The sequence below is a fragment of the Homo sapiens genome, chromosome X (assembly GCF_000001405.40).
Source record: "Homo sapiens chromosome X, GRCh38.p14 Primary Assembly".
Classification (NCBI taxonomy): domain Eukaryota; kingdom Metazoa; phylum Chordata; class Mammalia; order Primates; family Hominidae; genus Homo; species Homo sapiens.
The window spans coordinates 154,456,481-154,475,606 of NC_000023.11; the positions used below are offsets into that span (position 1 = coordinate 154,456,481).

General features: G+C 61.9%; 1 protein-coding gene across 4 annotated transcripts in view, besides 6 other annotated features; it reads left to right on the forward strand.

Moving 5' to 3' along the window:
- Nucleotides 1,209–1,278: an enhancer, noted in NCBI's record as "active region_30062". NCBI's record gives its function as "activates an Ori minimal core promoter by ATAC-STARR-seq in GM12878 lymphoblastoid cells {active_cell/tissue: GM12878}" and the evidence as "EXISTENCE:reporter gene assay evidence [ECO:0000049][PMID:35858748]".
- Nucleotides 1,369–1,538: a silencer, noted in NCBI's record as "silent region_21106". NCBI's record gives its function as "represses an Ori minimal core promoter by ATAC-STARR-seq in GM12878 lymphoblastoid cells {active_cell/tissue: GM12878}" and the evidence as "EXISTENCE:reporter gene assay evidence [ECO:0000049][PMID:35858748]".
- Nucleotides 1,669–1,908: a silencer, noted in NCBI's record as "silent region_21107". NCBI's record gives its function as "represses an Ori minimal core promoter by ATAC-STARR-seq in GM12878 lymphoblastoid cells {active_cell/tissue: GM12878}" and the evidence as "EXISTENCE:reporter gene assay evidence [ECO:0000049][PMID:35858748]".
- PLXNA3 (plexin A3) overlaps nucleotides 1,801–19,126 on the forward strand; it is a 19,499-nt gene continuing 2,173 nt past the window's right edge. Inside the window, exons 1-33 of one of the 4 annotated variants that reach the window (NM_017514.5) lie at nucleotides 1,801–1,948; nucleotides 3,677–4,297; nucleotides 4,619–5,158; nucleotides 5,648–5,830; nucleotides 6,911–7,039; nucleotides 7,110–7,210; nucleotides 7,471–7,594; nucleotides 7,677–7,833; nucleotides 7,922–8,021; nucleotides 8,274–8,388; nucleotides 8,538–8,738; nucleotides 8,944–9,040; nucleotides 9,177–9,367; nucleotides 9,455–9,600; nucleotides 9,670–9,790; nucleotides 9,896–10,032; nucleotides 10,143–10,313; nucleotides 10,577–10,670; nucleotides 10,752–10,991; nucleotides 11,065–11,208; nucleotides 11,287–11,521; nucleotides 11,602–11,744; nucleotides 11,823–12,079; nucleotides 12,183–12,249; nucleotides 12,343–12,489; nucleotides 12,576–12,735; nucleotides 12,899–13,002; nucleotides 13,208–13,304; nucleotides 13,497–13,687; nucleotides 13,962–14,131; nucleotides 14,625–14,837; nucleotides 15,008–15,158; nucleotides 16,110–19,126. The exon at nucleotides 16,110–19,126 is cut by the window's right edge and continues 2,173 nt beyond it. In NM_017514.5, coding sequence (NP_059984.3) covers nucleotides 3,704–4,297; nucleotides 4,619–5,158; nucleotides 5,648–5,830; nucleotides 6,911–7,039; nucleotides 7,110–7,210; nucleotides 7,471–7,594; nucleotides 7,677–7,833; nucleotides 7,922–8,021; nucleotides 8,274–8,388; nucleotides 8,538–8,738; nucleotides 8,944–9,040; nucleotides 9,177–9,367; nucleotides 9,455–9,600; nucleotides 9,670–9,790; nucleotides 9,896–10,032; nucleotides 10,143–10,313; nucleotides 10,577–10,670; nucleotides 10,752–10,991; nucleotides 11,065–11,208; nucleotides 11,287–11,521; nucleotides 11,602–11,744; nucleotides 11,823–12,079; nucleotides 12,183–12,249; nucleotides 12,343–12,489; nucleotides 12,576–12,735; nucleotides 12,899–13,002; nucleotides 13,208–13,304; nucleotides 13,497–13,687; nucleotides 13,962–14,131; nucleotides 14,625–14,837; nucleotides 15,008–15,158; nucleotides 16,110–16,205 — 5,616 coding nt within the window. In that variant the 5' untranslated portion in view covers nucleotides 1,801–1,948; nucleotides 3,677–3,703 and the 3' untranslated portion in view covers nucleotides 16,206–19,126. Of the gene's footprint in view, nucleotides 1,949–3,676; nucleotides 4,298–4,618; nucleotides 5,159–5,647; nucleotides 5,831–6,910; nucleotides 7,040–7,109; nucleotides 7,211–7,470; nucleotides 7,595–7,676; nucleotides 7,834–7,921; nucleotides 8,022–8,273; nucleotides 8,389–8,537; nucleotides 8,739–8,943; nucleotides 9,041–9,176; nucleotides 9,368–9,454; nucleotides 9,601–9,669; nucleotides 9,791–9,895; nucleotides 10,033–10,142; nucleotides 10,314–10,576; nucleotides 10,671–10,751; nucleotides 10,992–11,064; nucleotides 11,209–11,286; nucleotides 11,522–11,601; nucleotides 11,745–11,822; nucleotides 12,080–12,182; nucleotides 12,250–12,342; nucleotides 12,490–12,575; nucleotides 12,736–12,898; nucleotides 13,003–13,207; nucleotides 13,305–13,496; nucleotides 13,688–13,961; nucleotides 14,132–14,401; nucleotides 14,530–14,624; nucleotides 14,838–15,007; nucleotides 15,159–16,109 lie in introns of those variants that run through there. The other 3 variants (XR_007068193.1, XM_047442247.1, XR_430556.4) reach the window with 3 other exon arrangements.
- Nucleotides 2,149–2,218: a silencer, noted in NCBI's record as "silent region_21108". NCBI's record gives its function as "represses an Ori minimal core promoter by ATAC-STARR-seq in GM12878 lymphoblastoid cells {active_cell/tissue: GM12878}" and the evidence as "EXISTENCE:reporter gene assay evidence [ECO:0000049][PMID:35858748]".
- Nucleotides 2,704–3,256: an enhancer, noted in NCBI's record as "H3K4me1 hESC enhancer chrX:153687524-153688076 (GRCh37/hg19 assembly coordinates)". NCBI's record gives its function as "activates a minimal SCP1, AML or CMV promoter by ChIP-STARR-seq in primed H9 embryonic stem cells {active_cell/tissue: H9 hESC(primed)}" and the evidence as "EXISTENCE:reporter gene assay evidence [ECO:0000049][PMID:30033119]".
- Nucleotides 15,726–16,020: an enhancer, noted in NCBI's record as "tiled region #3405; HepG2 Activating DNase matched - State 9:DNaseU". NCBI's record gives its function as "activates a minimal TATA promoter and a strong SV40 promoter by Sharpr-MPRA in HepG2 cells {active_cell/tissue: HepG2}" and the evidence as "EXISTENCE:reporter gene assay evidence [ECO:0000049][PMID:27701403]".

The window sequence follows — 19,126 nt, forward strand, 5'->3', positions numbered from 1 at the left end:
GGCCAGGCATGGTGGCTCATGCCTATAATCTCAGTGCTTTTTTTTTTTTAGACAGAGTCTTGCTCTATCTCCCAGGCTGGAGTGCAATGGCACGATCTTGGCTCACTGCAACCTCCCCCTCCCAGGTTCAAGAGATTCTCGGCCGGGCGCGGTGGCTCACGCCTGTAATCCCAGCACTTTGGGAGGCCGAGATGGGCGGATCACAAGGTCAGGAGATCGAGACCATCCTGGCTAACACGGTGAAACCTCGTCTCTACCAAAAATACAAAAAAATTAGCCGGGCGTGGTGGCGAGTGCCTGTAGTCCCAGCTACTTGGGAGGCTGAGACAGGAGAATGGCGTGAACCCGGGAGGCGGAGCTTGCAGTGAGCCGAGGTCACACCACTGCACTCCAGCCTTGGCGACAGAGCAAGACTTTGTCTAAAAAAAAAAAAAAAAAAAAAAAAAATTCTCCTGCTTCAGCCTCCTGAGTAGCTGGGACTACAGGCATATGACACCATGTCCGGCTAATTTTTGTATTTTTTGTAGAGATGGGGTTTTGCCATGTTGGCCAGGCTGGTCTCGAACTCCTGACCTCAGGTGATCCGCTCACTTCAGCCTTCCAAAATGCTGGGATTACAGGCTTGAGTCACTGCACCCAGCATATGCCAGTACTTTGGAAGGCTGAGGCAGGAGGATTACTTAAGCCCAGGAGTTCAAGACTAGCCTGGGCAGTGTAGCAAGACCCTGTCTCTCTCTACAAGAATAGGAAAAGTTAGCCAGGCGTGGTGGCACTTGCCTGTGGTCCCAGCTACCTGGGAGGCTGAGGCAGGAGGATCCCTTGAGCCCAGGAAGTCGAGGCTGCAGTGAGCCATGATCCAATGCCGCTACACTGCAGCCTGGGTGATAGAGCGCGACCTCAACTTGGGGGGAAAAATCTGTCTATCTATCTATCTCTCCATATATGTGTTTAATAAAAATGGGCAAATGACTTGAATAGACATTTCTTCAGAGATCATATACAAAAGGCCAGCAAGCACATGAAAAGATGCTGAACACCATTAGTCATCAGGGAAATGAAAAAGAAAACCTTAACGGGGCGCGGTGGCTCACACCTGTAGTCCCAGCACTTTGGGAGGCTGAGGCGGGAGCATCGTTTGAGCCTGGGGCGGTCGAGGCTGCAGTGAGCTATGATCTCACCACTGCACTCCAGCCCGGGTGACAGAGCGAGACCCTGTGTCAAAAGAAAACAAAAAAAGAAAAGGAAAAAGAAAGCAAGGGAAGGAAGAAAGCCCTCGGTTCAGGGTCGCCGGGGAAGGGGCTGGTTTGGACGGCTGTCCCGCAGGCCCTCCGGGTTAGAGACCGTCGGGGGCGTGTCTTGAGCTGGGGACGCGACTCCTCGGCGGGGGTGCACCTGAGAGGCCGGGACCAGCGAGGCCGCGCCCCGGTGGCAGGTGACCCCGGGCGCGTCTCCGAGCGCCAGGGTGGGGCGAGGCGGACGCGCGCCCCAGGCCCGAGGGGGTGTGGCGCGGGCGCGCGCGGGTTCCGGGGTCGCCCGAGGCGGCGGGCGGGGAGCCGGGGCGCGGGGGAGGCGCGCGCCGCGGACGCGGCCATCGAGCGAAGGGGGTCGGCTGGCCGGGCGGGTCCCCCTTCAGGTCGCGGGGGTCAGGGCTGCGCGCGAGGTCCCTGGCCCCGGGGAGCAGCGGCCCCGCCTGCGTCCCCTGCCGCCGCGTCCCCCTCGGCCGGGCGTCCCCGGACGCCCCCGCCCCGCGCGGTGGTACGGTCCGGGTTTAAAAGGCTCCGGCGGCCCCCGGGCCAGCCCAGTGTGTGGGCGGCGGCGGCGGCGGCTGCGCGCTTGGGGCCCGGGGCGCGGGGCGAGGCCGTGGGGACGTGCGAGCGGGGCCGCGGTGGGGCTCGGGGGCGCGTCCACGTGGCCAGAGGGCGGCCACCCGGAGCCAGCGGAGGGACAGGTAGGTGGCCGTCATCGTCGCCGTCCGTGCGGGGCCAAACAGCTCGGGGCCCGGGGCTCCGGCAGCCCGGGGGTCCGGCTCGGCCTGTGGGGGTCAGGCCCTATCCCTGCCCGTCGGCGCCGGCCTGCCCGACTCCTTGTGCCCCGCATGGTGGGGACGCCAACCCAAGACCAACACCCTGCCCAAAGAGGACCCTTTGTCGCAGGGGAGCGGCCCCTCGGAGGATCAACGCTGTACTTCCCTCCCGCTAAGGGCTCCGCGAGTCCGCCGAGGGGTGCCCTGATGGGGCCCGGGCAAACCGGACCAGCAGCACGGTGGGGGGTGTGGGGGGCGGCCGCTGGACCCCCGTCTCTGCGTGGGGCTGCCCCTTCCTCAGGCTCTCTGCTGGCCCAGCTGTACCTGTGATGCCCGAGGTTGCCACTTACAGGTGGGGGCTGGGCCTGAAACTGCCTCCCCAGGTCTCCCTCCCGACCTGTCCCCAGCCTGTTCCTAGGCTTGTGTTCCCGGGGTGTAGAGGAGGTGAAGACAGGATGTGGCCTCTCTTTTCTTTGGCCTTCCTTTCTTCTCCGGCTGTTGCATGAGGGGTCCAGCTGACAAAAGAGCCCTGGAGAGGTGATCAATCTGAGCTGAAACTTTGCAGTTTCAAGCTGGGCCCGCTGCTTGTTCCTGGCAAATGCCTTATTTTTCCTTTCTCTCTCCTGTGCCTCCTTGGTTTGGTTCCCTGCACCACCCCCCGCTCCCCCCCCGCCTCCCGCCCTCAAGCTGGGTACCTCCTATCTCCCCCGGGAGCTCTGGCACTGAGAGGGTAGCGCTGAGCCCTGCCCTGTTGGCTGCCACGACACTGCTCTGCTGTCTTAGCAGCCTGGGGCTGACTGGGTGTGGCCTGGGGACTAAGTGCCAGTCCCAGCACTGTCCCTGTGGCTCCTGCCCTGTCTCTCCAAGGCCTTGACTGTATTTGGGGACATTGCTCCTCCTCTTGTAAGGCTCCTGGGACTCCAAAGGGCAGGTAGGGCCCCCTGTACATTCCCTTCTCCAGTGAACCCCTGGGTCTGGAGGGGGAGCCATGCAGGCTGTGGCTGAGCAGAGCTTGACTGATGTGTGTCTGGGTGCGTGGCTGAGGGGCAGGCGCGACTTGGCTTTGTGTTGCATCGGGGAGGCCAGACAGCGGGCTCCTGGATGGCCAGCTGAGGCCCTTGTCGGGGAGGCAGCTGGGGCCCCTGCAGGGGACATGGTGGTGCTGGATCCTGCATCAGGCCTCCATTCCCCAGACCTCTGTCCCAGGGCTCCTGGTGGCAGTGCCACTCCAGGTGGTGTTCCTGGCCCTGCCCCTCTCCCCCAGCTTGCGATTATTCTGTGCCTGCCTCCCTCTCCCCTCAGCTCAGGCGTTGGGGGCAGCCCAGAGGCCTGGGGCTTGCTGTTCTTTGCTGTTGGTTGCCCCGGGCTCTGAGATGTGGCATCTGGGGTCCCAGTTCCAGCATCTGCTCTGCTACCCCCTTGGGTGTGGCCCAGCTGAGGCGAGGCCTCCTGGCTCCTTTCCAGCATGGGGGCTGAGGGACGATTGATGGCCCCCAAGCCTGCCCTCGCTGGCTGCTCACTCATGCGCCCTGGCGGAGGCCCCTCCTCTCTCCCTGTCACGGTGGCCATCTGGGGCTTTGGCGGGGTGGTGGGTGAATGGCCCAGCCCTCTGTGGCTCGAGGCCTCTGACTCCCACACACCGTCTCTCCCTAGGCCTGTCCCCAGGCGCGGCTGCCGGCCATGCCCTCTGTCTGCCTCCTCCTGCTGCTCTTCCTTGCCGTGGGGGGGGCCCTGGGCAACAGGCCCTTCCGTGCCTTCGTGGTGACAGACACCACGCTTACCCACCTGGCTGTGCACCGGGTGACTGGGGAGGTGTTCGTGGGCGCAGTGAACCGAGTCTTTAAGCTGGCCCCCAACCTGACTGAGCTGCGGGCCCATGTCACGGGGCCCGTCGAGGACAACGCTCGCTGCTACCCGCCCCCCAGCATGCGCGTGTGTGCCCACCGCCTGGCCCCCGTGGACAACATCAACAAGCTGCTGCTCATAGACTATGCGGCCCGCCGCCTGGTGGCCTGCGGCAGCATCTGGCAGGGCATCTGCCAGTTCCTGCGTCTGGACGACCTCTTCAAGCTGGGTGAGCCGCACCACCGCAAGGAGCACTACCTGTCGGGGGCCCAGGAGCCCGACTCCATGGCTGGTGTCATTGTGGAGCAGGGCCAGGGGCCCAGCAAGCTGTTTGTGGGCACTGCTGTCGACGGCAAGTCGGAGTACTTCCCCACCTTGAGCTCCCGCAAGCTCATCAGTGATGAAGACAGCGCGGACATGTTCAGTCTCGTGCGTGAGCCTTCCTTCTCTTCTTCCTCCACCCAGTCCTGGCTCTGCCTCCCAGAAGAGCCCTGTTCTTTCTGAGAGGGGACTTTCGGCTCCTCAGTGTCTGGGATGCAGACAGGTTGCGGAGGGTGGGATGACAGCCTGAACCCAGGTTGCGGGGGTCCCCTGTGTGCAGGGAGGCTGGTCACCCTGCCCTCTGCAGCCTTTCTGGCCTGGGCCTCTGTGATCATCCAGGCGGGAGGGGGATGCAGAGGGAAGCTGGCGGTGGCCCGTGATGTTGGCACAGGGCCTCACCGGATGCTGTCTCCTCCCCCTGCTCCCCAGGTGTACCAGGATGAGTTTGTGTCCTCCCAGATCAAGATCCCCTCAGACACGCTGTCCTTGTACCCTGCCTTTGACATCTACTACATCTACGGCTTCGTCAGCGCCTCCTTCGTGTACTTCCTGACGCTGCAGCTGGACACCCAGCAGACGCTGTTGGACACAGCGGGCGAGAAATTTTTCACGTCCAAGATCGTGCGCATGTGCGCGGGAGACTCAGAGTTCTACTCATACGTGGAATTCCCCATCGGCTGCTCCTGGCGCGGCGTGGAGTACCGCTTGGTGCAGAGCGCCCACCTGGCCAAGCCTGGCCTGCTGCTGGCCCAGGCCCTGGGCGTGCCGGCTGATGAGGACGTCCTCTTCACCATCTTCTCTCAGGGCCAGAAGAACCGGGCCAGCCCACCCCGGCAGACCATCCTCTGCCTCTTCACCCTCAGCAACATCAATGCCCACATCCGGCGCCGCATCCAGTCCTGCTATCGTGGGGAGGGCACTCTGGCTCTGCCCTGGCTGCTGAACAAGGAGCTGCCCTGCATCAACACCGTGAGCCCCTCATCACCCCACACTGGTCCTCTGCCCTGTCCCAGGTCTACCATGCCCAGCGTGGGCTCACGGCCAGTCATCCTGTCCCAGGCTTTGCCATGGCCCTGGGAGTGGCACCTTTGCCCTCCCACCTGTTTCTCCCTCCCAGGGGTCCCTGCCCTCTCCTTGCCTCTCTCTGGGCTGCCCAGTGCCCCACTTCTGCTTCCTTCCGTTCCCAGCTCGTTCCTCCTTGCTCCGTCTCCCGGTTGCCCCTTGTCTTGAGCCAACAAGAGTCTTGTGGGCCCAGGCTTCGCTCCTCGCTCCCTGCTGTCCCTCCTCTGTCTCCCTCCGCAGCCACCAATTTCCTGGAGCACCCTAGGGCGAGCAGTCAGTCCTGGCTGGAGGGGACCGGGTTCTAGATCCCGCTCTCTTCTGGGACACAGGAACTGCCGGCCTCCATCTTGCGCCTGGGAGCTTTGACTCTCACGGGTTCCTCCTCTGTTTCACCAGCCCATGCAGATCAACGGCAACTTCTGTGGGCTGGTGTTGAACCAGCCTCTGGGAGGCCTGCATGTGATCGAGGGGCTGCCCCTGCTGGCCGACAGCACCGACGGCATGGCCAGCGTGGCCGCCTACACCTACCGCCAGCACTCTGTGGTCTTCATTGGCACGCGCAGCGGCAGCTTGAAGAAGGTGGCCCCCAGAGCCCTGGGCATGTGGGGGTGGGGACAGTCTCAGATATGGGACAAGGCTGGTGGGAACACACGGGAGAGCTCTGAGGACAGGACAGGAGAGGACACGGCTGGTGCAGGGAGGGAGATTTCCCTGGCTGGGTCCCAGGCGCCTGGCCCTGCTCCTCGGGTCGCCCCTTGGCCGCCCACCCTCACCATTGCCAGTTCCCACTGTGGACTGAATTGCCAGCTTCGTATGGCTCTGGGGACAGAGAACAGACCTATTGTGGAGTCTCCCTGCCACGAGAGCAGGCCTGGGGCTGAGCCAGCATTGCTGGGTCCTCTGTTGAATGAACAAGGGAGCAAATGCCTTGCCCCTCAAGCCTCCCTATGCCTGGGACAGACCCACTTGCCCCTGCCCTCTCCTTGGCTCACTACTTCCCATCCTTCCCCTCCTACCCATGGGCCCGGGGGCTGAAGCTGCTTCCATTGGGGATCTGGGGGTAGCTTGGCATGAAGGGGGAGATGAACTTCTGGGCACTCAGGTACGTGTTGAATAGGTAGGAGTCGGGGGACTGCAGTGCTCTCATCCTGCTTGCCTCGTAGATGCAGTGCCATCCCCCAGGAGGGCAAGTGTTGGTCTGGGGGCGCAGGGAAGGGTTTGTGGAGAAGGATGATGAACTCTCCTGGCCCACCTGCTCTGTTCCTGGGACCCTCTTTTCCTTTGTAGCAGCTTTGTTGAACGCGTACTATCCAATTCACCCATTTTAAAGTGCACAGTTCAGTGGGTTTCTGTGGATCTGCAGAGTGGCACAACCATCGCCACTACCTCATTCTCCTAATCAATGCCATCTTCTAGCTCTTCCCCTCCCCTGCATCCCCTGACCTTGGGCAACACGAATCACTCCGTCCTTCTGTTTGCTGAGGGCATTTTCTGGCGTCTGCACCCTCCTTTTTTTGGCCTCCGGGCTGTGGGTGTGAGTGCTGAACCCCACCAGGTCCTGACGTCAGCTCAGCCACAACCTCCAAAGTCTTTGGCTGGAGAAGACAGTGTCCCAGGTGCAGGAGGCTGTGGTGGCATCAGGCTGGTCTTGTGGCTCAGGTGCGGGTCGATGGCTTCCAGGATGCCCACCTGTATGAGACAGTCCCCGTGGTGGATGGCAGCCCCATCCTCCGAGACCTGCTCTTCAGCCCGGACCACCGGCACATCTATCTCCTGAGTGAGAAGCAGGTGGGCCTGTGGTGGGTGGCGGTGGGTGGTGGGGCGGGGGTGGGCTGGGTGCTGATGTGGCTGTCCCCAGGTGAGCCAGCTCCCGGTGGAGACCTGTGAGCAGTACCAGAGCTGCGCAGCCTGCCTGGGCTCCGGGGACCCGCACTGTGGTTGGTGTGTGCTGCGACACAGGTGAGGGCGGGGACCCCTGCTCGGGGAGTTGGAGGGCCCCACTGGCCAGGGGGAGCCAGCCACACCCAGCCGTGCCCTTGCGGCCTCCCCCCGCCCTCCTCCACTTTCTCCAGCTAATGAGTGGAACCTCCACCCCGAGTGACGTCCCTCGGGCCCCAGGGGACGCGGCCAAGGCTCGCTGTTGCCTGGCACTGTGAGCTGGACAGGCCTGGGCCCTCCCGGGGCAGTGGCGGGACCGGCTCTGGCCCGACCCCGTGCAGGTGCTGCCGCGAAGGGGCCTGTCTGGGCGCCTCTGCCCCACACGGCTTTGCTGAGGAGCTGAGCAAGTGTGTCCAGGTGCGGGTCCGGCCCAACAATGTGTCAGTGACGTCACCTGGGGTGCAGGTGAGCAGCTTGGGGGTGCCCGGCTGGGTGTGCACATGTGTGCTGGGAGTCCGCCCTGCCCTGAGCCCTCTGCTTCCCCCAGCTGACCGTCACCCTGCACAACGTGCCAGACCTCAGTGCGGGCGTGAGCTGCGCCTTCGAGGCGGCGGCGGAGAACGAGGCGGTCCTGCTGCCCTCCGGTGAACTGCTCTGCCCCTCACCCTCCCTCCAGGAGCTCCGAGCTCTTACCAGGGGGCATGGTCAGTGGGTTGGGGCTGCCCAGGATGGGGCAGAGTGGGGCCTCTCCCTACCCCCAGCGAGTTCACGGCCACCCCGGGACTGCTGCAGGGGCCACCCGCACTGTGCGGCTGCAGCTTCTCTCCAAGGAGACAGGCGTGAGGTTTGCCGGTGCTGACTTTGTCTTCTACAACTGCAGCGTCCTCCAGTCGTGAGTACCTGGCCAGCACCCGTCCCTACCCCTGGGGATAGAGGGGACCTCTGGGACAGGCGACACCTTCAGGGCAGCTGTTTCTGGGGCATCAGGGGCTAACTGTCAGGCCCTGATAGCCCCTGACATCCCCACATCTCTCTGTCCCCTGATATGGCTGCCTTCTTCCTTCAGTTCCCGATGTGTCCTATTGGGGAGCAGTGAGGGGCAGTGCAGCCTCCTCTGTTATTTCTGAAGCCACTTCCCCCCCAGGTGCATGTCCTGTGTTGGCAGCCCTTACCCCTGCCACTGGTGTAAGTACCGCCACACGTGTACCAGCCGCCCCCACGAGTGCTCCTTCCAGGAGGGCAGGGTCCACAGCCCTGAGGTGAGGCGGGCGCCGCATGTGAGGGGCTGGGCTCTGTGGTGCGGGCGGGGCCACCGGCTTCTATGCGTTCTCGGTTTCTTTGAGCCTTCTCCAGGTTGGGCCTGGAGAAGGGTGGCCCTGTGTGCAGCTGACAGGTGCTTTCCCCGCAGGGCTGCCCTGAGATCCTGCCCAGTGGGGACCTCCTGATCCCCGTTGGGGTCATGCAGCCTCTTACCTTGCGGGCTAAGAACCTACCTCAGCCGCAGTCGGGCCAGAAGAACTATGAGTGCGTGGTGCGGGTGCAGGGGCGGCAGCAGCGGGTGCCTGCCGTGCGCTTCAACAGCAGCAGTGTGCAGTGCCAGAACGCCTCGGTGAGGTCCCACCCGCTGCCTCCCTTCGGGGTCTGGGCTGTGGCGTGGTGTGGATCGTTCTTGTCTATGCCCAGCTCTCTGGCAGGGAACTGTCTGAGTCTCCTGCTAGGGATTCCTGTACCTGGAGGAGGGGGGCAGCTGGCAAAAATCTTGGGTAGGGGTTCTGCACATCTTATCTGGGGTCCCATGGGTTCCTTTCCTCCAGTACTCCTATGAAGGTGATGAGCATGGTGACACCGAGCTGGACTTTTCCGTGGTCTGGGATGGAGACTTCCCCATAGACAAGCCTCCCAGCTTCCGAGGTGAAGGCATGGGCCAGGGAGCTTCCCTCCTAAGGCAATTGGCACTGCTGGGGTCGGGTCTGGGGGCCCTAGTGCTCCCCACTTTCCACTTTTCTGCCACTGCCTGCTCCGTCAGCAGTGCCTTCTGTGCCTGCAGCCCTCCTGTACAAGTGCTGGGCGCAGCGGCCCAGCTGTGGCCTCTGCCTCAAGGCTGATCCCCGCTTCAACTGTGGCTGGTGCATCTCAGAGCACAGGTGCCAGCTGCGGACCCACTGCCCGGCCCCGAAGACCAACTGGATGCACCTGAGCCAGAAGGGCACCCGGTGCAGCCACCCCCGCATCACGCAGGTCAGCCTCCCTCACCGCCCCTGCCCACTGCCAACAGGGCCCCTGGGAGTCTGAGCCAACTCTCTCACTGCCCATCCTGCTCCACAGATCCACCCTCTCGTGGGGCCCAAGGAAGGAGGCACCCGGGTCACCATCGTGGGTGAGAACCTGGGCCTCTTGTCCCGAGAGGTGGGCCTGCGGGTGGCTGGCGTGCGTTGCAACTCCATTCCGGCCGAGTACATCAGTGCTGAGAGGTGAGTGCGGCTCTGTGGGTGCCCGGGCCGTATGTGGCCTGGCCGGCCCTGACGCTCTCTGAGCCCTAGGATCGTGTGTGAGATGGAGGAGTCGCTGGTGCCCAGCCCGCCGCCGGGGCCCGTGGAGCTGTGTGTGGGTGACTGTTCAGCCGACTTCCGCACGCAGTCGGAGCAGGTCTACAGCTTTGTGGTGCGTGGCTGCCGGCCCTACCCCTTCCTGTCCCTTCTCTCTCCCGCAAGGGGCGTGTGGAGCAGCCCGGCCCGGCTCCTCCCCTCAGGGCAGCTTCTCCCGCAGACCCCAACGTTTGACCAAGTGAGTCCCAGCCGTGGCCCGGCGTCCGGGGGCACACGGCTTACCATCTCAGGCAGCTCTCTGGATGCTGGCAGCAGGGTCACAGTGACTGTGAGGGACAGCGAGTGCCAGTTTGTAAGGTGGGCCGGGGCCCTGCCAGCTTTGGGTTGGGCATCGTGTGGGGGGCCGTGGGGACGGGTGGCTGAGGGCCCTGGGCCACCCGCTCCAAGCACCCTGCTTGCCAATGTAGGAGAGATGCCAAGGCGATCGTGTGCATCTCACCTCTCTCCACCCTGGGCCCCAGCCAGGCCCCCATCACACTTGCCATTGACCGGGCTAACATCTCCAGCCCCGGGCTCATCTACACCTACACTCAGGACCCCACCGTCACCCGCCTTGAGCCCACCTGGAGCATCATCAAGTAAGACCCTGGGGGACTGGGGAGCCTGGCAGTGTCCAGAGGGCTCAGGGACTGGGTGGTCTCTGAGCTCCGGTGGGGCCCCTCCTGGAGCCTAGGCCCTCATTGGTGGAGGGGGTGGAGCTGTCCTGGCTGCACAGTACCCGGCACCCACTAGGCGATCCAGGGTCAGGGAAGGCCTGGGCTGCCATGGCAGCCTTGATCGCTCTCCAGGGCTGGGTGGGTGCACTGGAGGAGGGAGCCTGAGGCCCCTGCCCTGTCCCTAGTGGAAGCACTGCCATCACTGTGAGTGGGACCCACCTGCTGACGGTCCAGGAGCCCCGGGTCCGTGCCAAGTACCGCGGCATTGAGACCACCAATGTGAGTACCAGCTGCCCCGCCCCACCCCGACCCTGCAGCCCATGGCTTCACGTGCCTGGCTGTCCACCTTTGTCCCCACAGACATGCCAAGTGATCAACGACACTGCCATGCTGTGTAAGGCCCCCGGCATCTTTCTTGGGCGGCCCCAGCCTCGGGCGCAAGGCGAGCACCCTGATGAGTTTGGCTTCCTGCTGGACCACGTGCAAACGGCCCGCTCCCTCAACCGCTCCTCCTTTACCTACTACCCTGATCCCAGCTTTGAGCCGCTGGGGCCCTCTGGCGTGCTGGACGTCAAACCGGGCTCCCACGTGGTGCTGAAGGTGCGGGCGGGGTGGGGGCGGGGAGGGGCGGGAAAGTGGAGAGTCCTGGGCTGAAGTTGTCCTCCACCCCCAGGGCAAGAACCTGATTCCCGCTGCAGCCGGCAGCTCCCGCCTCAACTACACTGTGCTGATAGGAGGCCAGCCGTGTTCGCTCACTGTCTCGGACACACAACTCCTGTGCGACTCACCCAGCCAGACTGGCCGGCAGCCTGTCATGGTAGGTGGGGATGGGGAGACCCCCTGGGCAGCCCAGGGTGGGCGTGGTGGTCAGCTCACCTCAGGCCTGTCCCCACAGGTGCTGGTGGGTGGCCTGGAGTTCTGGCTGGGCACCCTGCACATCTCGGCAGAGCGGGCGCTGACCCTACCGGCCATGATGGGGCTGGCGGCGGGGGGTGGGCTCCTGCTGCTGGCCATCACAGCCGTGCTGGTGGCCTACAAGCGCAAGACTCAGGACGCGGACCGTACCCTCAAGCGTCTGCAGCTGCAGATGGACAACCTGGAGTCCCGTGTGGCCCTGGAGTGCAAGGAAGGTGCCTGAGGCGGGGCGGGATGTGGTGTGGAAGCTGGGGACCTCCCTCCTGCCCACTCATTCCCTCTCTCCACCCCCCAGCTTTTGCAGAGCTGCAGACGGACATCAATGAGCTGACTAACCACATGGACGAGGTGCAGATCCCCTTCCTGGACTACCGGACTTACGCCGTGCGCGTGCTCTTCCCGGGCATCGAGGCCCACCCGGTGCTCAAGGAGCTGGATGTGAGCCTCTGCCTGGCCTGCCCCCCACCATTCCCTTCAGGGCCGCCCCCACCCTCTGAGACCTCCTGCTCCCCACAGACGCCACCCAACGTGGAGAAGGCCCTGCGCCTCTTCGGGCAGCTGCTGCACAGCCGCGCGTTCGTGCTTACCTTCATCCACACGCTGGAGGCCCAGAGCAGCTTCTCCATGCGCGACCGCGGCACCGTGGCCTCGCTCACCATGGTGGCCCTGCAGAGCCGGCTCGACTATGCCACGGGGCTGCTCAAGCAACTGCTGGCCGACCTCATCGAGAAGAACCTCGAGAGCAAGAACCACCCCAAGCTGCTGCTACGCAGGTACCTGCCTTGCTCTATCCAGGCCACACCTTTGTCCTGCCTGGGCCTGCCCCCTGTCCAAGCCCCACCCCTGCCAGGCCCGAGCCCCCTTCTCTTGCCCTAGGACAGAGTCAGTGGCTGAGAAGATGCTTACCAACTGGTTCACGTTCCTGCTGCATAAGTTTCTGAAGGTGCGCCAGGTGGGTGGGCGGCAGGGAGGTGGTGGCAGAGGACCGGCCAGTGGTCAGGCAGGCAGCCAGCTGTGCACCTGTCCCTGGCTGCAGGAGTGTGCTGGGGAGCCTCTCTTCCTGCTTTACTGTGCCATCAAGCAGCAGATGGAGAAGGGCCCCATTGATGCCATCACGGGCGAGGCACGATACTCCCTGAGCGAGGACAAGCTCATCCGTCAGCAGATCGACTACAAGACACTGGTGAGCGCAGGGCCAGGCGGGCCAGAGGTAGGGGTGCAGAGAGAGGCCTCGCCCCAGACTGACACTGGAGTCCGCTTTCCCCTCAGACCCTTCACTGCGTGTGTCCGGAGAACGAGGGCAGCGCCCAGGTCCCAGTGAAGGTTCTCAACTGTGACAGCATCACCCAGGCCAAAGATAAGCTGCTGGACACTGTGTACAAGGGCATTCCGTACTCCCAGCGTCCCAAAGCTGAGGACATGGACCTGGGTGAGGTCCCCACCCTCTCCTCCTGGCTCCCACTCATACCCTCCTGTGCCGTGTGACCTCCGTGGGCTCTCCCGCTCCCCACCTGAACCCTGTTTCCAAAGAGGAGTGGGCCAGGCACTTGGGGGCTGCCAGCATAATCTTAAGGGCTGTCTGTGGCCCACAGAGTGGCGCCAGGGCCGCATGACTCGCATCATCCTCCAGGATGAGGATGTCACCACCAAGATCGAGTGTGACTGGAAGAGGCTCAACTCACTGGCCCACTACCAGGTGAGGGGTTGGGGCCCATTCCTCCCCAGGGCCACCTGGGAGCCAGGACCCTGCCTTGAGCTGCAGCAGGACACGGGAGCAGTGGCCCTGGCTCCCCTCGCCCTTCTCCCTGGGCTCGTGGGCTCCCCTCCTGGGTGTGGGTGGGTGGGGGCGCCTTGGCTTCTCAGCTTCCTGCACTGCCCCCCTCTGTCTCTGGGGCCTCCAGGTGACAGACGGTTCCTTGGTGGCATTGGTGCCCAAACAAGTGTCTGCCTATAACATGGCCAACTCCTTCACCTTCACCCGCTCCCTCAGCCGCTACGGTAGGTGTCCTCAGTGTGGTGGCCATGTGCCCTTCGAGGGAACCCCCACTTCCAAGTGCCATCGATTCTGTAGAGTGTAGACGGAGGGTCGGCCAGCGAGGGCAGATGGGTCCCCACATGCTGCTGAGCTCCCGGGAGAGTGGGGCAGGGGCCAGGTGGTGGCCTAAGGGTCACATGCATTCTCTGCTCCAGAGAGCTTGCTCCGCACGGCCAGCAGCCCTGATAGCCTCCGCTCACGGGCACCCATGATTACGCCTGACCAGGAGACAGGCACCAAATTGTGGCACCTGGTGAAAAACCACGACCATGCCGACCATCGCGAGGGGGACCGTGGCAGCAAGATGGTCTCCGAGATCTACCTGACACGGCTGCTGGCCACCAAGGTATGGGCCTGCCTCTCGCCACCTTGGCCTCCGCCCAGAGGTTGTCCCGGCCTTACAGGGGAGGGGCCATGGATCATTTGCTTCCAGTGGGCCTTTCTTCGGGTCTTTGCTGTGGGAACTCTGAGCCTTAGATAAAGGCCATGTCTGTCTGAGAGACCACTGGCCCTGTAGGGAAGCCCCTCTCTTTGCCAAGCCTTTCTGCCTCCATCTGTCCTGCTCTGGGGACATCCCAACCTGGCTCCCTCATAGCCTGTGACCTCTCTGCCCCACACAGGGCACACTGCAGAAGTTCGTGGATGACCTCTTTGAGACAGTGTTCAGCACAGCCCACCGGGGCTCGGCCCTGCCCCTGGCCATCAAGTACATGTTCGACTTCCTGGATGAGCAGGCGGACCAGCGCCAGATCAGCGACCCCGATGTGCGCCACACCTGGAAGAGCAACTGGTATCACCCCGTGCTGGGCTGCCAGCAGCCTGTCTGGAGACTGGTGGGCGGAAGACGCTGGTGGCTCTGCTGAGACCCAGGGCCTGGAGTAGCATCCAGGCAGGAGGGAATGAGGCCTGGCCTGGGGTTGACACTGACGGTGCCATCAAGCCAAGGGGCCTGTTGCGTCCAGTTCTGGAGCTGGACTGCCTGGGTGGGTGGGATGGTGGTGGTGAGGCCTTTGCCCTCTGGGGTCTTGCACCAGGTAGAGATGCTGGTGGTCGGTCGCAGGTGGTGAGAGCGGTGACAGGAGAAGCTGCGGAGGGGGTTGAGCCCTATTGAGAACAGAAGTTCAGCAGAGACTTAGAGGAAAGGCCGTTCACCCTAAATGTGTTGCTCTCACCACCTCTGGACAAGATGTGAGCCGGCCCGACAGGAAAGAGATGTGCACATGGGAGGGGCCCCTTGGGGCTAACTAGGGAGCCTCAGGCGCACGTCCCTCTGTTGTCCACAGCCTGCCGCTGCGCTTCTGGGTGAATGTGATCAAGAACCCGCAGTTCGTGTTCGACATCCACAAGAACAGCATCACGGATGCCTGCCTGTCGGTGGTAGCCCAGACCTTCATGGACTCCTGCTCTACATCCGAGCACCGCCTGGGGAAGGACTCGCCCTCCAACAAACTGCTCTACGCCAAGGACATCCCCAACTACAAGAGCTGGGTGGAGAGGTGGGCTCCGCCCTGCTGTGGGTGGCAGAGGGCAGGACCTGCCCCTCCCTGGGCTGCCTGTGCGAGGCAGGCCAGCTACAGGCAGGAAGCCCGGGGGCTGGCTGGGCAGTGAGGGCAGGGGTTCTAGTTTTTGTGATGTCGCCTGAGTGACATACTCAGGGTCCCAACAGGTATTATCGAGACATTGCAAAGATGGCATCCATCAGCGACCAGGACATGGATGCCTACCTGGTGGAGCAGTCCCGCCTCCACGCCAGCGACTTCAGCGTCCTGAGTGCGCTCAACGAGCTGTATTTCTATGTCACCAAGTACCGCCAGGAGGTGTGTGTCATCCCCACAGACTCCCAGTTACTTGGTCCTGAAGGTGCAGCCAGTGACAAAGGCAGGAGGGTTGGTGGGGGTTGGGGATTGTTCACGGTCTCTCCCCTGACCAGGGCCTGGGGCCGGCACAGGTGATGCTCTCTGGGATCACAGGTAGATGCTGGAATTTGAGGGACCCAGGAGATAAGCCACTGGCTGGGTACAAAGTGGCCACTGGGCAAAAGTTAAAGGGCCTGAGCACTGGAAGGGATGGGTCAGGCTTTGTGATGAGAAATAGCCAGAGGCAGGAGGACATAGAGGTGTGGACTTTAGGATGGAGTCTGGGCTGGACACATTTGCAAGCCTGTGGATGGCATTTAAAGCCCTGAGCCTGGATGAGCTCACAGGGAAGCCACAAGTGGGTGTGGAGGGAGAAGCGGCCCAAACACTGAGCCCAGGGCCCCAGGACACAAAGAGGGGAGGGGAGGGGAGGTGCAGCAGCCAGCGGGGAGGATGCCTGAGAGCGCCTGGTGGGGTCTGGCAACCTGAGCCAGTGAGGACCCCTCACAGGTCAGGGAGTGGCAGTGGCCGGCTCCATCTTCCAGTGCTGCTGCTGGTGAAGGATGGTGACCTGCAGAACACTCACTGGGTCTGGCGAGGGTCACGGGGTCCTGGCGCGAGGGAGGCTTGGGCTAGGAGGTAATGGGAGGGGGAATCCAGCACGGCGAGTCCAGAGTCCAGGTCACTCTAGGGACAGGCCGCACCCTAGCTGTGGAGAGGAGGAGGAGAAAGTGCTGTCGTCGGAGGGGCATTTGGGGCTGGGGAGAGCTGGTGGGTTTGTACAGGGGCTGCGGGGGAGGACGGAGGGATGAGGCGTGTGGGAGGGAGGAGCCCAGCTGGGAAGTGGGGACTTTGCATGGCAGGAGCTGCGCCCCCTACAGAGCCCAGCTCCAGGGGACTCCTCTCCCCCAGATTCTCACGGCTCTGGACCGAGATGCCTCTTGTCGGAAGCATAAGTTGCGGCAGAAACTGGAACAGATCATCAGCCTCGTGTCCAGCGACAGCTAAGGTGGTGGAATCGGTGAGGAGGGGGCTTCTCAGTCCTGTGCCGTCCTCCCATCCAGGGGAGTGGCTGGCTCAAGCCTGGGTCCCCGGGCTGAGCCCTGGATTGGGTATCGTGGGGCAGGTCACCCTGGCCACGATGCCCCCGGCACACCCAGGCCCCCTTCATTAGTGCCTTGCTTTGGGCCCTGCAGGGGGAGGGGTGACAGGGCGAGCCCCCACCCCAGCAGCAGCAATACCCCCACCCTCCTGCCCTGTGCCCAGGTGTTGGGACAGTCCCACCCTCCCTGCTATTTATATCCCTCTGCCTATTTATTGAATCGAACTTCGCCTCTGTCTCCATCTGTAAATATGTGTCCCCCCACCGGATGTCGCCACCCTCACTCACCTGCCTCTTCTTGAGCTGTCCTGGGCCCTGCCACCCGTCTGGGCTCCTTTGTGTAGCATTATCAGCCTCGGTCTGGCCTCTGGCACCTCACCCTTGCCATGGCTGACCCCACCCATTCCAAGGCGGGGTCACGGTACCAGCAGCACTTGGGGTGAGGCCTCCAAAGCTTCCTCAGAATTGTGGCTGTGCCACGCTGGACCACAGGGTCCCCCTCAAGCATCTCGGGGCCCTATTCTCTCTGAGCACCTGGAGGGCTGGACTCAGGCTTGTGCCAGGGCCTGACTTGGGCCTGGGGGCCCTAGAACGCTCCTCCTCCTGAGCCTACTGCCAAACGTCCTCAGTGTTGTCTGCACCTGCTCCGACTCCTTCAGCCGCCCCATTCAGCGCCCGCTCCGTCCAGTGCCCGCCCTGTGGGGCCAAGGCGGCCGTGCCTTACTACTCTGTGTCTTCTGCCTCCTCTGAGGAATCTGGCCCTGTCTGACAGTCCCAGACCCCCCGTTCTCTCCTCTTTAGTTGCATGAGTTTTTCTTTGTTCATGGAATGTTTTTTCCTGATTAAATGTTGGGGAAATGCCATCCATGTGGGGCTCTGTCCTTGGGGCAGGTCAGTAGACCTGTGGATGCTGCATGAGCTGGAGCCCCATTGTGGGAGAAAGGACCACTCCTTGCAGGGTCCCAGAGGGTTTGGGGAGGTTCAGGGCCATACCCGACCCATCAGCAAACCCCGGTGGCTCTACCTTCAAGACAGATTCAAGGTAGATAGATTCTCCTCCCTTCCACCACCCCCACCCAGCTCTCCTGTGCCATCGTCTATCTCTGCCTGGATGCCAGTCTCCCTGCTTCTGCCCTGGCTCTCTTCAGCCTGTTCTCAGCGTGGGAGGCAGAGAGATCCTGTTATGATATAAGGTGGATCATGTTGCCTCACTGTTTAGAACCCTCCGGCGGTTTCAGCTGCAGCCAGCTCCTTCAAAACCTGACAATTGCATACTGTCGAGGTTGTGGCACCCATCATGGTGCACCTACCAAAGTCTTACTCCCAGGCCTGTTAAGTAATGCAGGTGGGGAGAAGGTGACATGCAATTTATTTATTTATTTATTTTGAGACAGAGTGTAGCTGTGTTGCCCAGGCTGGAGTGCAGTGGCAAGATCACAGCTCAGTGCAGTCTCAAACTCCTGGGCTCAAGTGATCCTCCCACCTCAGCCTCCTGAATAGCTGGGTGTATTAGTGCACTCTACTATGCCAGGCTTTTTTTTTTTTTTTTTTTGAGATAGGTTGCCGCTATGTTGTTCAGGCTGGTCTTGAATTCCTGGTCTCAAGTGATCCTCACCCCTCAGCCTCCCAAAGTATTGGGATTACAGGCATGAGCCACTGTGCCCGGCCAGGTGAGATGGAATCTTATTTTTACTTTTTATGTTTTTTTTTTTTTCTTTGACGGAGTGTCGCTCTGTCGCCCAGGCTGGAGTGCAGTGGCATGATCTCGGCTCACTGCAAGCTCCGCCTCCCAGGTTCACGCCATTCTCCTGCCTCAGCCTCCCGAATAGCTGGAACTACAGGTGCCCACCACCACGCCCGGCTAATTTTTTGTATTTTTAGTAGAGACGGGGTTTTACTGTGTTAGCCAGGATGGTCTCGATCTCCTGACCTCGTGATCCACCTGCCTCAGCCTCCCAAAGTGCTGGGATTACAGGCGTGAGCCACCATGCCTGACCTTTTTTTTTTTTTTTTTTTTTTTTTTTTTTGGAGACGGGATCTTGCCCTGTTGCCCACGCTGGAGTGCAGTGGCAAAATCAACTCACTGCAGCCTTGATGTCCTGGGCTCAAGTGATCTTCCTGCCTCAGCCTTCTGAGTAGCTAGGATTACAAGTGCTTGCCACCATACCCAGCTGTTTTTTGTTTTTTTTTTTTTTCTTTAGTAGAGATGGAGTCTTGCTGGTTTTGAACCTCCTGGGCTCAAGTGATCCTCCTGTTTTGGCCTCCCAAAATTCTGGGATTACAGTTGTGAGCCACTGTGCCCAGCCAAGTGAGATGCAATTTTTTTTTTTTTTTTTTTTGAGACAGAGTTTCACTCTTGTTGCCCAGGCTGGAGTGCAATGGTATGATCTTGGCTCACCGCAACCTCCGCCTCCCGGGTTCAAGTGATTCTCCTGCCTCAGCCTCCTGAGTAGCTGAGATTACAGGCATGTGCCACCACGCCCAGCTAATTTTGTATTTTTAGTAGACACAGGGTTTCTCCATGTTGGTCAGGCTGGTCTCGAGCTCCCGACCTCAGGTGATCCGCCCGCCTCAGCCTCCCAAAGTGCTGGGATTACAGGCATGAGCCACTGTTCCTGGCCTTTCTTCTTTTTTTGTTTTTGTTTTTTTTTGAGATGCAATTTTAAATAGGGTGGCTTGGACAGCCACCTGAGTTGGGTTTAAAAGCTGCCAGCTCCAGCCGTCCAGCTGTGGGGCCACGGTGCCAGACAGTGGTGGTGGTTATAGGACCGTAGGTGTTTACCAAAACTAGACAAGTCCACATAACAACCAACTGCACAAATAAGGA